Raw genomic sequence first — 14,202 nt, 5'->3', positions numbered from 1 at the left:
AACTATAAAATCCTGAGAAGCAAACATAGGAGTAAATTGTCATGACCTTGAATTTGGCAGTTTTCTTAAATATGAGACCAGCAACAAGAATAAAAATTGATGAATTGGACTTCATCAAAATTAAACATTTTTGCACTTCAGAGGACACCATCAAGAAAGTGAAAAGACAACTCACAAGATGGAAGAAAATACTTGCAAATCATGTGTAGCACTTTTTGATGGTAAACTTGAGGAAGACTTTATTTTTTATTTTTATTATACTTTAAGTTCTAGCATACATGTGTACAATGTGCAGGTTTGTTACATATGTATACCTGTGTCATGTTGGTGTGCTGCACCCATTAACTCATCATTTACATTAGGTATATCTCCTAATGCTATCCCTCCCACCTCCCCCCACCCCATGACAGGCCCCGGTGTGTGATGTTCCCCATCCTGTGTCCAAGTGTTCTCGTTGTTCAATTTCCACCTATGAGTGAGAACATGTGGTGTTTGGTTTTGTCATTGCAATAGTTTGCTCAGAATGATGGTTTCCATATATATATATATATATATATATATATATATATATATATATATGTCAGTTGCCAGGACTACTGGGCAAGCCTGGGAAAGAGAGTACCTGGGGAAAGCAGCCTCCTGCTCCCCCGTGCCTTCTTTGAGCCTGATGTTCATTTGATGTGGTACTATATAATCACATCCAGTTTACCCTTTGAAATTCCTTGATTGTTCTTTTCTATATCCTTGACACTGTCCTTTTACAGACCATATGATCTTATCTGGAATACTACAACAGTTTTCTTTTCTCAGTGCTTTTAGAATAACCTGTCAAAAACTAATCTGACTATAGTAGTACCTGCTTACAACCTTTTAATTACTCCCCATTTCCTACCAGGCTGTGTAGCTCACTTGAGCTCTGCTAGGTGGTGAGGGAATCTGGGTCCTTTTTCTGGTATTTGAATTCAGTGCTACATAGGTTACTGGCTGGGTTGACAATCTCAAATTGTAAATCATGAGTATTCTATGTAGATAGTCTGTCACGATTTACAATAAAACATTGACATGTCAAAGGCCATTCCAGCCTGGGCGACAGAGCGAGACTCCGTGCCCCCCCACCAAAAAAAAAAAAAAAAAAAACACTTTCCCCAGAATGCTAGCCTGATGGGAACTCCACCCCATCCATTCCAACCTAGTAAGGATAGTTTAGTTTGTCTTTTCTGGTCCCACTTCCTTACATCTAGTGTTCTTTTTTTGTTTCTGTTATTAAATTTCAGAAGACAAACCTTAGCATTTTCTAAAAGAAATTATTTTTACCTAAATACATTGGACTTTGGTCTTAATTTGAAGGAATAGGATAAGTGGCCTTTAAGAGAGCGTTCCTACTCCTTCTCTTCCAGTGGCTGCTCTGGGTCCCTGAAAGAGGGTGTGATGTGAACCATCTGGGTTGTGAAGTGGATTTTGTTGAGCCTGTGTTTTTTAAGTCCATTAGTCCTGCCCGAGGCTGTGTGCCCTGGAATCCTTGGCTTCACCTCTGAACCACCTTCAGCCAAGTGGTGATGGTGAAGAGGGTCCCCCGATCTTCCAGGACTTGTGAGAGTTTGTAGGTGATGAAATGGAGGGGGCACCTTTTAAATCTTCCAGTACCCATCCCCGCTGCTGGCGGTGCTCTCCCCGTCGTCCTTGTCCAGGACTCCCACCAGGGTCTCGATCTCTTCTGTGATGCTCTGACTCACATACTGGGAGGCCCTTTTCCCAATGTAGTCCCTGATGTCCACATCGGCGTCCTAGGTCCCCACTAGCAGCTTCACCATCTCCAAGGTACATGGCTGCCAAGTTCAGGGCGGTGTAGCCCTGGCCTTGCTGTTCCCAGGCAAGCGGAGGCTCATTGGGGAAGTTGACCAGCATGGCCAGAAGCTCCAGCCTGCGGTGCTAGGCGCCTGCGCAGGCAGGTGAGGCGGTGATGAAGCTCAGCGTGGCCAGCAGACCGGCTGGCACGGGGGCAACCTCCTAAGCTGTCCACTCCCCATCGGAGGCCGAGAGCAGCCAGCCGTGCTCCCTGGTCCAGCTCACCCAGCCCCGCAGCTCTCCTCCTCCACGGACGGGAAAGCCTGCGCTGCGCCACCAGAGTCACTCGCCTCCGCCCTGTCCTCAGAGGAGTAGCTCCCAGGCTGCTGCCTCCAGGACACAGGTTCCTCTTCAGGGGTGGGGCGCTGCCCCTTCCCAAGTGGCTCAATTTCTGGCGGAACGGCCTCGGGGCGGTAGCCCCCCAGGAGCTGCCCCTGTCAGCCTCCTGGCAGCCGTGGGGCGGGGGCTCCAGGTCCTCTCTGGTCCCAGGTCCCGCGTCTGGGGTAGGGGCTGGTGGAGCCGGCGAGCTCTTCTTGCGTCCCCGCCGCTCAGGGCGGCCCGTGCAGGGCCTGGGCTCCCCCTCGCCCAGCTCGGCCCTGCCTGTGGAGCACCTCGGGGACCGCTGTTTCAGGGAGCGGATGGTGAATGCTGCGCTCCGCGTTCACGTGGATGCGGGACAGGTCCCAGGGGCGCGGCCTCAGGTGGAGGCCCCGCCAGAACCTCTTCCTGAGACGCAGGTACTGGGCGCCATCATCGGCTGGGTCGGTGCAGTGGCCACAGCGTTCACCTGGAGATACATTTAAACAGTTTTATTCTCCTGTTTTTGTTTTTTTTTTTTCATTCCAGAAACCACTACTACTATGCAACAAAGTAAAAATATCTAGTTTAAATAATAATTTGATACGGTCAGATGGGGATGAGTGCACACGTGTGTGTACACACACACGCAGGCTATAAATGGTATATTTTGGCGGAGCAGAGGGATAAGGCTTTAATTTCATTGGTGTGTTGAGTTAGAATCGCCCTTCTCACAATTAAATAATTTAAATCAGGAGTTTTGTTAAAGCTAATTTGTACAACTAGGCAACATCTTTTCTCCATATATTTATACACATATACACATCTCTAATATTTGCATTTATTACTTCATCTAAAAGAGCTTGGAAAAAGGGTCCTAAGTCTTGGCTAGTTAAGGTAAAAATCTATATTTTAAAGTAATAAAAACATTTGCTATGGACAGAGACATGCAGACACTGTGGGTGAAGCTGATTGATGTTCCATTGAATGAAATGACATGGGGTTTTCTAAGGGAAAGCCCAGCATGCTGCAAGGAGAGGGGAGGTCCCGGGAGGGAATTGGAGTCAGCATTAGGATCTAAGTGTCACAGGGGAGTGTGTTCCCAAAAAAGACTGTGACTGTTTCTGTGTCCATCCTGAACTGGTTACCATGAGTGTACGTGTGTGTGTGTGTGTGTGTGTGTGTGTGTGTGTGTGTGTGTGAATTAAAAGAGGAGTTACATGCTGGGGCATTTCTGGTATCTCAACTCTCATCTCAGCTGTTGGTGTTGATGGCTATACATTTTCCTCAGTATTCAACGGTGCGCATTTTGAGTTAACAATCCACCCATTGGCTGAGGCAGGTGGATCATCTGAGGTGAAGAGTTCGAGACCAGCCTGGCCAATATGTGAAACTCTGTCTCTACTAAAAATACAAAAATTAGCCAGGCGTGGTTGCAGCACCTGTAATCCCAGCTACTCGGGAGGCCAAGACAGGAGAGTGGCTTGTATCTAGGAGACAGAAGTTGCAGTGAGCTGAGATGGGCCACTGCACTCCAGCTTGGACAGCAGAGTGAGACTTGGTCTCAAAAAAAAAAAAAAAGTTATTGTGACATGCTGTACACATTCACAAATTCAGTGTCTCCCAGAAGTCTGAGATTCTTTTTTTTTTTTTTTTTTTTTTTTGAGACGGAATTTCACTGTTGTTGCCCAGGCTGGAGTGCAATGGTGTGATCTCGGCTGATTACAACCCCCACTTCGTGGGTTCAAGCGATTCTCCTGCCTCAGCCCAAGTAGCTCCTGCCTCCCAAGTAGCTGGGATTACAGGCATGTGCCATCATGCCCAGCTATTTTTTATTTTTATTTTTAGTAGAGTTGGGGTTTCTCCATGTTGGTCAGGCTGGTCTCGAACTCCCGACCTCAGGTGATCCACCCGCCTCGGCCTCTCGAAGTGCTGGGATTACAGCCATGAGCCACCATGCCCAGCCAGAAAGTTTTAAGGCTATGATTATTAGACCATCATACACACAAAAAGTACTTAAAAAGTCTCAGGAATGCAGTCCCTCATTGGCCTGGTATGACAAAGATAAAAAGAAGTTGGTCGTGAAAATTTCTGAATGTGGTTTAGGACAAGGAACCCCAGTAAGATTCAGAGACAACCTAGAAAGTTGAAAGACAATTTTACTACCCAAATCACCCTTCTATAAAAAATAATAGAAGATGTCAAATATGAAAATAAAACTGTCCTCTGAGCCCTCAATTTTCTGTGTTATTGGGAAGGCAGACAGCTACTCAGCAGTTATATCCCATAAGAATGGATAACACTAAAACAACTGACAGCATCAAGTGTTGGTTAGAAAGTGGAACTGATTCTCTCAAACATTTTCATTGTAGTTTAAGATGGCACAACCACTTAGGAAAATGTCTCCCCATTTCATACAATGCCAAATATATACTTATTTTATAACCCAGAAAATCCACTGTTATGTACTTAAACTCAAGAAATGTGAAAATATTATTACAGAAAAACGTGTATATCTGATTTGTTCGTAGCAGGTTTATTCATGATAGCCTCAAATCAGAAACTGATTTTGTGTCTATCAATAGTGGAATGGATTAAAAACAAAACAAGCAAAGGCCTCAAACCTGTGGTATAGTCATAAAATTGAGTATTATAAAATAAAATTAATGAATAATCAATAGGAGCAACATGATAAGTGTCACAAACATGTTTAGTGAATGAACATAAAAATTATATAATTTATAGTTTCACTTACGTAAATGGTGAAAACAGACAAAACTAACCTTTTGTGGAAAGAATCAAAACCATGGAAGCCTCTGTGTTCAAATAGTGACTGGAAATGGGCATGAGAAAAAGTGTTTCTGCCAGATCTTCTATATGCCTGATGTACATTCACTCGATGTATTTTGCATATACTATTTTTGCAAATAAAACTGAGATAGAGGCAAAATAACTCAAGAGAAAATAGCTAGAAATAGGTAGAGTTGGGATAGAAGCCTTGGAAGCTCCCCCCTACCTTGCCCACCTGACACAGCCGGAGGAAGTCCTGGGACAATGCTGTGAGCGACCTGAGGGCTGTCCAGGGGAGCCCCGCCAGCCCATGCTGGTGCCCGAGCTGCCCGCCGCCATCTGAATATGTTGCAAAGGCAGTGCTGGCCTGGCAACCGGTGACGCTCCATGCCCCACCCCGACCCCCACTTCTATCCAAATAGCGGCAACCCTAGAGGCAGATGCCTGGGCGGCAGCGGCTAAGTCTGGCAGTTGGCCAGGCGGCCAAAGGACGGGAACTGGCCGTTCACCCCATCCCAGTTTCCACGGAGAACTCAACCACCATGGCCCCTGAGAGGACCCTCAGGCCTGGTGGGCTGTGCTCTGTGCCTGCAAACCTGACCTGACGCCATCCAGGGGAGCTCCGCCTTCCCACGCCAGCGCCTCAGCTGCTGCAGAAAACTGCAAAACTGCAAGTTGCACACGGGCAGAGATGACGGAGCAACCCCTGACCCTCCGTGCCACTCACCCTACCCGCACACACACCTGCCACGCGGATCCTGAGGCCGGTGCCTGGGCGCCCAAGTCAGGCAGTCCGCACAGCAGCGGCACCAGGGTGAAAACCTGCTGCTCGATACCATCCCGGTTACCATGAAGAGCCAGCCCCGGCGGCCCCTGCGTTCTTGGAAGGCCAAGTCATTGCAACCCCTCAAGTGGGCGGGCGATGCACTTGACCCTGAGGACATCAGGTACCAGGCCCGCCAGCTCAGGCCGGCATCGGAGCTGCAGCTGCAGTCTAGATGTGGTGCACCGGCAGCAAGTGACTGGACACCCCAGACCAGGCCCGCCCCCCAGTAGCGCGGATACTGAGGCCAGACCCCCAGGCGGCAAAATCAGGCGACGGGCCCCGCCAGCAGCCGCTCAGTTTCATCCGTGTGGATACAGAGTGCCCAGTGCCAGGGCCCAGGATCCAGAGAGATGTACAAGAGGAGCGGACCTTGAGCCCAGGTGGGCTGTGCGCTCTGCGACCCTGAGGCCATCTAAGGGAAGCTCCGCCATCCAGCGCCAGTGCCAGATCTGCAGCTGCAAACTGTGCGTGGGGCACTGGCAGCAGTGAGGGCGAGTGGGGGAAGGAGCAGCCCCTGACTCTGCCTCCATGCTTCTCCAGCTACCTGATACTAGCCACACAGACTCCAGGGCCAGAGCCTCAGCGTGAAGCCGGGCCATCCGCGAAGCCACCCAGGTGGCCGCGGAGTGCTCTTGCCAGCACCCTATCTCCCTTCCGAGGAGGAGCGGGGTGGGCTGCAAGGCCAGACAGGCTCTCCTTCTCAGGCCGGGCTGGCGGCGCTCCTGAGATCCTGGGGCCGCCCGGGCGATCCCAAGAGGACCTGCGAGCCCATTTGCGCCCGCCCAGAGCTGCAGCCCCACCTGCCGGCGCGCGCCTCCAGGGAGCGGCTTCCGGGAGCCGGGCAGCAACCGCCGTGCAGGCGCGCGCCCAACGGCTTTTCAAGTCTCACTCGGTCTGAGAGGTCGGAGGCTGCGAGTGTCGCTGCTGAAGGCTGTGGTGGACCGGGCTGGATCGCGGATTGTGGAGTAGATCATAGATTTGGGATCGCGGATTGGGGGTTGAATCGCGGATTTGGGGTTGGATCAGGGATTTGGGGTTGGATAGGGGATTTGGGGCTGGGTCGGCCGGGGTCGGGGGAGGGGGTTGGTGAAAAGGTGACAGGGAGCTGCCCCCGCTCAAGAGCCAGAGGTTGGGGGTCTGAGAAGTCACCACTATGAAGTTATTCGCCTTCGGGAGCCGCAGGGGCCAGACGGCCCAGGGCTCTATAGAACATGTCTACACGGGTTCCGGATACCGAATCCGGGACTCCGAACTGCAGAAGATCCACAGGGCAGCTGTCAAGGGCGACGCCGCGGGGGTGGAGCGCTGCCTGGCGCGCAGGAGCGGAGACCTGGACGCCCTGGACAAGCAGCACAGGTAGCGGGGGCTCAGCCCGTGATGGGATGGGGTCCCCAGGCCCGGCTTCCCCGCAGCCCCTGGGATGGGGCCTTGCAGGGCACCGGGCACCCTCGGAGCGGCGGAGCCAAAAGGACTCTCAGCTGTTTTCCATCCCTCATAATTCCCTGGCTGGAGCAGTTGGAGAATTTGAGTGATTTAACTCACAAAGTTAAGCATACACAGTGTTGTTATTTTTAACGTACACGTTTAAAACATGGTTTATATACATTATAGGAGGTGCCTAATGAGAGAACTCATTCCCCTATCAAAAATACCGTAGTAGGCGAAAAGTTCTCAGATAAGAGAGCTTACTTGAAAAATATTTACTATACTATATATATATTTTTTCAGATGAAAAGTATGTTTTTATTTTATAGGGAATTCATTACATTCTTTTTTTTTTTTTTTTTTTTTTGAGTCGGAGTCTCGCTTCTTTGCCCAGGCTGGTGTCCAATGGCACAATCTTGGCTCACTGCAACCTCTGCCTGCTGGGTTCAAGCAATTCTCCTACCTCAGCCTCCCAAGTAGCTGGGATTACAGGCAGGTGCCAGCGTGCCTGGCTAATTTTTGTATATTTAGTAGAGAGGGGGTTTCACCACGTTGGCCGTGCTTGTCTCGAACTCCAGACCTCAAGTGATCTTCCCTCCTCCGCCTCCCAAAGTGCTGGGATTACAGGTGTGAGCCACCGCGCCCAGCCTATGTTGCTTATTATATATCATTTTATATATATATGTATGTATATATGACTGATACTTATACGTATATACCAGATATAATATGTCATATATATCAGTTATATATACACATTAGATGAAAAGTACATTTTCATTTGACAGGAAATTCTTTCAAATCAAATCATCAAACACTCTAAAATTGGGCAAAGTACTTTTTTCCAGATCTGCAAGTTACTTGTGTACATAGGAAAAAGTCCTTCGCATTTCTGGTATAAGAATTTAAATTAAAAGAGGAATGAAACAGTTTTCTATCCACAATATTTGTGAGGATGTTTTATACTCCTGCTTAAAGTTTAAGTTGCTGATTATTTTTCAAATAGATAATTTGGTGGTAAGTAGTACATTTAAAAAACATGTATGCCCTTTACCCATCAATTCCATTATACTAAAACACCCTTAGGAAATAAAGATACATGCACTTTATTTTTCACAGCACTTATTTTAAAAAGAACCCATAGAATGGATCCTATAAATAAATTTCAGTTGCATCCACAGGATAGAATAATGTGTGACCATTGAAGGTGGCAATAGATACAGAAGTATATTGATGTGTGAAGATGTATTTTGTTATAGCTAGTGAGGAAAAAAATCAATAAAGTTATACATACAAACATACTATGGTCTTGTTTTAGCAAAAAATATGTACAAAATATAAAATTTGTAATTTCTGAGCATTTGTATTTTAAGTAAAGTTCTTTTCCTTTTTCTTATCTGTGATTGCTGCAGTGAGCATGTACAAAACTTCTAGTAAAGTTTATTAGTAAAGGAATAATCCTTGGGAAGAGGGGAATATGAATCTTACAATATTAAAAATAATTTCTCGCTTTCTATTTTTTATCATTATTGAGTGTATTGTTATCTTCTTTGAACTTTTAGCCTCTTCAGAAGTAAAAAGGGAATGTTTTTATCTGTTTCCAGATTTTATTATCTATATATTTTATTATGTACATACGTTTTTCTTATGTATTCATTCAATTTATGCAAACAATGATAGATTAATCATTTCATTTTAATTGTATTCTTTAAAAATAAAAATAACATATGAATAATTACTATTGCAAAAATATTGCTTTATAGGAGGTTATTTAAAAATATTGAACTTCCCAACTGTATTTATCCATTCTTTCATTCCATTTATTCATCAAACATAACCTGAGTACCTGTTATGTAGCAGACATATTCTGCTATCTCTCAGGACCCTTCTATCCTTAAAAACTTCGTGTTTACCTGCCCTGCCTGCACAAGCTGAGAGATTTAAAATAGGAATATTGGGACTTAATCTCCTTGAAAGTTTGTCTCCCAACTTTCAAACAAAAGCATTTCTGAAGTTAGAAAATAGTAGAAGATAACCTTTAACTGCCATTCAAAAGTTTATCAGTCTTAAATGCTAATATTAATCATTGGAAGGTCTTATTTGCATATATTCTGTAAGCATAAATATTGAATAAAATGAGCCATATGTATTCACTTGAATCATGAGTTTCCTTTGTCAATTTGTTTGAAAATCAAAGAATTAATTTGTTTAAAAAATGCATTATTATAATTTCAGTGTTCTATCCCCATAGTACCTTTAAGAACTAAAATGTATTTATGTACCAGTTATATGCCTAGAACTGCCCTAGACCTGTTTAGTACACCATATTCTACTTAATGTAAGGTCTCATGGATTGTGAGATGCCCCACTATTTTATATATAGATAAGATAATTTTTTAAATGCTACCAATTATAGTTATATAAGTGACATTCCAATGTCAGAAGTGTTCAAATGTGACCTACTCTTTAAGCCATCCTGCAAAGTAGGTATAATTGTGTCTTTTACCTAATTAAAATGTTTTTGTTAAGTAGTAGTAATAGTAACAATTATAATATCTGGCTGGGTGCAGTGGCTTACACCTGTAATCCCAGAACTTTGGGAGACTGAGGTGAGAGGATTGCTTGATGCCAGGAGTTTGAGACCATCCTGGGCAACGAAGTGAGATTCTTACTCTACAAAAATTTTTAAATAAATAGCTGGGCATGCTGATTCACATCTGTAGTCCCAGCTACTCAGGAGGCTGGGGATGGAGGATCGCTTGAGCCCAGGAGTTCCAGGCTGCAGTGAGCTATAGTTACATCCAGCCTGGGCAAAAAAGTGAGACATTGTCTGAAAAAACAAAAATCTTACAACTATTGAGTTGTTGTAGGAACTATTCTAAATACATAGCTTCTCATTTAAGCATCACGGTGGGGTTCTGTGAGATAGCTACTATTGTCATCTTTATTAATGAGGAAGTTGAGACACAGAAAGGCTAAGCAATAGTTGGTAAGAGACAGGGTTTAAAGTAGGACTCAAGCCCTAGTTGAACTGAATCCAAAGACTGAGCTCTTTCTATTCAAATAGGCTACTGTTTTTATTAAGGCACTGAGCAATAAGAGCTAGTAAGTATTGTGCTTTCTTCAAAAAAATTAAGTATTTGTTTTGAAGGCAGAGGAAAAACATGCTCTTCAATTTTTATAGTTACATGAATGATTGTATGTTTTGAGATGTTGCACTACAGTTTCCTAAAAAGTCCTCTTACTCTCGTAGAACTGCTCTACATTTGGCCTGTGCCAGTGGCCATGTGAAAGTGGTCACTCTCCTGGTTAGCAGAAAATGCCAGATTGATATCTGTGACAAAGAAAATAGAATGCTTTTGATACAGGTATATTAGAGCCAACTCTTTTAGCATGACATGGATTTGATTTGCATACATAGAATTGAAATAAATTGATCTCATTTAAATACAACTAGTTGGTGAAACCTGTGGAATGTTTATTTTGAATTTCTTAGAATTTACAATCTATTTCTTGGTCTAATACGGACAGGCTGTCCATTGCCAGGAAGAGGCTTGCGCCGTTATTCTGCTGGAACATGGCACCAATCCAAACCTTAAGGATATCTACCGCAACACTGCTCTCCAGTATGCTGTGTATAGTGAGAGCACCTCACTGGCAGAAAAACTGCTTTTCCATGGTGCAAATATTGAAGCACTGGACAAGGTATAGATCAATCAACTTTCTTTCCAAAATATTTGTTTTAACATTGACATAGGTAAGGGTCAATTTTTTATATTTGGAAGCTCAACCATTCCCTGAATATTTGTGAATATGTTAAAGGTAAAACCTTTTCAATTTTTTTTTCTATGCAGGGTTATTCTTTCCTTTTTTTCCCCTCGAATTGGTGTAAAACAACACAGGAAAGAAAACATGCCCTGGAACTAGGCTTTATCTTAAAACTCAAACAAAACTAAAGCAACTTACAATAAATGGACATGTTGCTGCTGCTGATAATTTTCTGAAAAACTGATGTATCATCTCTCAGTGGCACAAGCCTTAAGAGGGAAAAATGGGTAGGGAAAAGGAGAGCAATGAGAAATATGTAGGTCACTTGGAAATTAGGTAATGAGGGAAAACGACAAGAAGAGTTTTTTTTGTTTTTTTTTTTTTAGTTTGTTGTTCTTCCAGTTTATGTGTTGAGATAAGGTGCTCTTTAGCTTTGGGTCTAATAATTTTTGGTTTGAAAAAGAATGAGTTGAAACTTGCCTAGAGATTAATTTCAGGAAGACTCTGAGGGAACCAGTTTGGCAGTGAATAGGTGGTGATGAAGTGAGAAAAACTTCAGCAGAAGGTAGGACAAATTATTAACTGACTTATTGCCCATTCTGGCAGAAACAGCCACTTAGATAAGAGTCTAAAGCCTCCTCTCAAACCTAGAATGTCTTGGTGGGAAGGTGGGAGATAAGGAGCTTGTAAATAGCAAAATCAAGTGGGATTTTGAGTTTATTTGTCTGTGTTCTACCCATACCCAGGAAACTTAATTGGAATTTTAATAAATGACACTATCTCTTACTCTTTTCTCTTTTTGGCCACATGTCCAACTGATAAAGGGAATTAGCCATGCGGGTGAGAGATGAGACTGAAGTGATTGCTGCACCAATTCTCAGAATTGTGCATTACAGTGACCTGATGACATTTTGTTAAAAATCTACAATTGTAGGCTTTCCCCTGAGGATTTTGATGTAATAGACCTAATAAGGCCTGAACATTTTAAAAAATGTTTTCTTGAAGCTGGGCACAGTGACATGTTCCTGTAGTCCCAGCTTGAGCCTGAGTTTAAGTTCAGCTTGAGCAACATAATGAGACTCTTGCCTCTAACAACAATAACAGCAAAAAAAAAAAAAAAAAAAAAAAAAAAAAAAAAAAAAAAAAACCCTCAAGTTTCGGATACAGTCCTGATTAAGAACCCCAGAATAGATAAGTGCAACATATGAATTTCTGTATCTCAAAAACGTAAGAAATCTCTAGAAGAATTGGCATTCGATAGGTGCTACTTCCTTCAAAGTTCTCCTTTTCAGTAATATTAGCCTGACTTATCTGTCTTTCTCTACATCTGTGACTGGGAAGTGAAAGGAAATATTACTGGCAATATCTCTCAGTTTACAGAATAGCACCTTTTCCTTCCCACCATGAATCCTTCACTAACATTCAGAGAGTCTTTAGAAATTTGCTTATGGGTAATCATTCAATAAGCAGAGGCTGGCTCTTTCATGATTTGATGTCCCTTTGTCACCATGCACGTGATTATGTGTCAACAAATGTTCATTACAATTTGGGCTTTCTCAATTAGAATAGTAGCAAATCCTAAACTATTCGTTTAGTTGAAGTTTTATTATGAACTAGCTCAGTATGTTTGTTAAGTTTATAGAGCTTTAGCATACCCAAAATGTCAGTTTTAAACATTGAAGTCCATGGAGTTAATAAAAATACAGATATGAATTCTTTTAATAATTTAGTTTTAACAGTCCTATGAACCAATTATCTATTTGGTTAACAATCTGGGAAAATTATATACAAATATATTTTAAATGAATAAATGTTGGAAAAATTTTTTAAGTAGGTATTATGAGTCTTTTTTGGCAATTTTTATTATATATGAGAGCCTGATTTTTTGGTAAAACATATGATACTAGAGAAAGAAAGTATTTTACATGCAAATACTTGGATTATACACAACCATTTAGTAACACATTAATAGTGAATATAAAAACACAAGGGCTATATTCTAATGTGGTACACAGATTTGTTTGTTTTCCTCTATAAGTTGAATCAGCATGTAAAATTTAGAAGACTGGTGTAGATATCTGGACTTCAGGCTTATTCTAAAAAATCAAATCTGGTGTCCCCTGAGTTTCTATCACTGTTTGGTCTGCTGTGCAGAGGTTGCCCCTTTAGAGAAGGCATGTATTCTCCAGTTTGCTACTGTGCCCACCTTAGTACTTCCTTTACTCAGGCAACCTTCCTTTGTCCTTGTAAGTATCTGAGTTTACAACTCCTATGTTATAGTATATTTTGATAAAGATTTCAAGGTTTTTAAGTCAGCATGTATTTGTTATAATATATAGTCTATAGAGTATGTAAATCCCTCAGTTATGGAGTTGAATTTTAGAATTTAGAAGTTTTTGAAACTCTTTTCTTTATATATACCACAAATAATTATCTGCCCATAAGAATGTCTAGAAGCCTTTTTAGGTTATTCCTGGTTATAGTTGGATAATTTATGAATATTGCAGACATTACATCTTTCTCATCAGTGCTCTTCCTTAGAAATGCCAGTGACTTACTGGCTTTTATTATGCCAGAAATAATTCATATGGATCAGTATGAGAACTTTTATTGATAAGCCATTATGTTTTTATTTCTGATTTATATTTTGTCTAAAATAAAAAATAATTTTAAGTAGCCCTTTAAGTGGAAGCCAATAAAAATGGATTTAAAAGGTAGAGCTGCCCTGGGGTCCTGGGATTACCATTAAAATTGAGAATAGTATTTCTTACTGAGCTTTGGTTTTTTAAATATTTGTTCTTAAGTTTTTTAAACCTATTTCTCTTACACAGAACATACTGAGCTTTCTAACAGTAAAGATAAAAATCTATTCTCTTGTATTAGGGAAAAAACCCATGGACTATTTAATAATAAGGAAAATAAGTGCATTTGAAGCCAATCTCTCTTAATTCAGAGCTCATTTCCATAGTGACCCATTTGGAGCAGGAGTGCCTGACATTGTCATCTGGGATCCTGACAGCATTGATAGAAGTGAATCAAGCAAGTTTGTACCACCCAGAAGAAACCTCCACCGGCATTGGGAAGCTCTGGCAACTGTACCCCTAAAACTCTTAATTCCTCAAATGTTAATGTTTGCCACAAATAGTACTGTGAAATGGGGATTAGGTAAAATTCAAGAGATTTCTTGATTATTGGACATAACATACAGTTTTATAATACTTCTCAAATGCAGATGGTCATGGAGTCTTTCT

At 42.5% G+C, this 14,202-nt stretch overlaps 2 pseudogenes across 1 annotated transcript in view; one reads left to right on the top strand and one right to left on the bottom strand.

Moving 5' to 3' along the window:
• Positions 1 to 1,149: 1,149 nt before the first annotated feature.
• SOWAHCP3 (SOWAHC pseudogene 3) lies at positions 1,150 to 5,271 on the bottom strand (annotated as a pseudogene).
• Positions 5,272 to 6,850: 1,579 nt separating this feature from the next.
• The window catches only part of ANKRD20A21P (ankyrin repeat domain 20 family member A21, pseudogene), a 42,705-nt pseudogene continuing 35,353 nt past the window's right edge, over positions 6,851 to 14,202 (top strand). Inside the window, exons 1-2 of the transcript XR_002958558.2 lie at positions 6,851 to 7,114; positions 10,715 to 10,888. The product of XR_002958558.2 is annotated as an ankyrin repeat domain 20 family member A21, pseudogene (transcript). The remainder of the gene's footprint in view (positions 7,115 to 10,714; positions 10,889 to 14,202) is intronic.

This window comes from Homo sapiens, chromosome 20 (genome assembly GCF_000001405.40).
Source record: "Homo sapiens chromosome 20, GRCh38.p14 Primary Assembly".
Classification (NCBI taxonomy): domain Eukaryota; kingdom Metazoa; phylum Chordata; class Mammalia; order Primates; family Hominidae; genus Homo; species Homo sapiens.
This window is presented reverse-complemented; position numbering and strand designations above follow the sequence as displayed.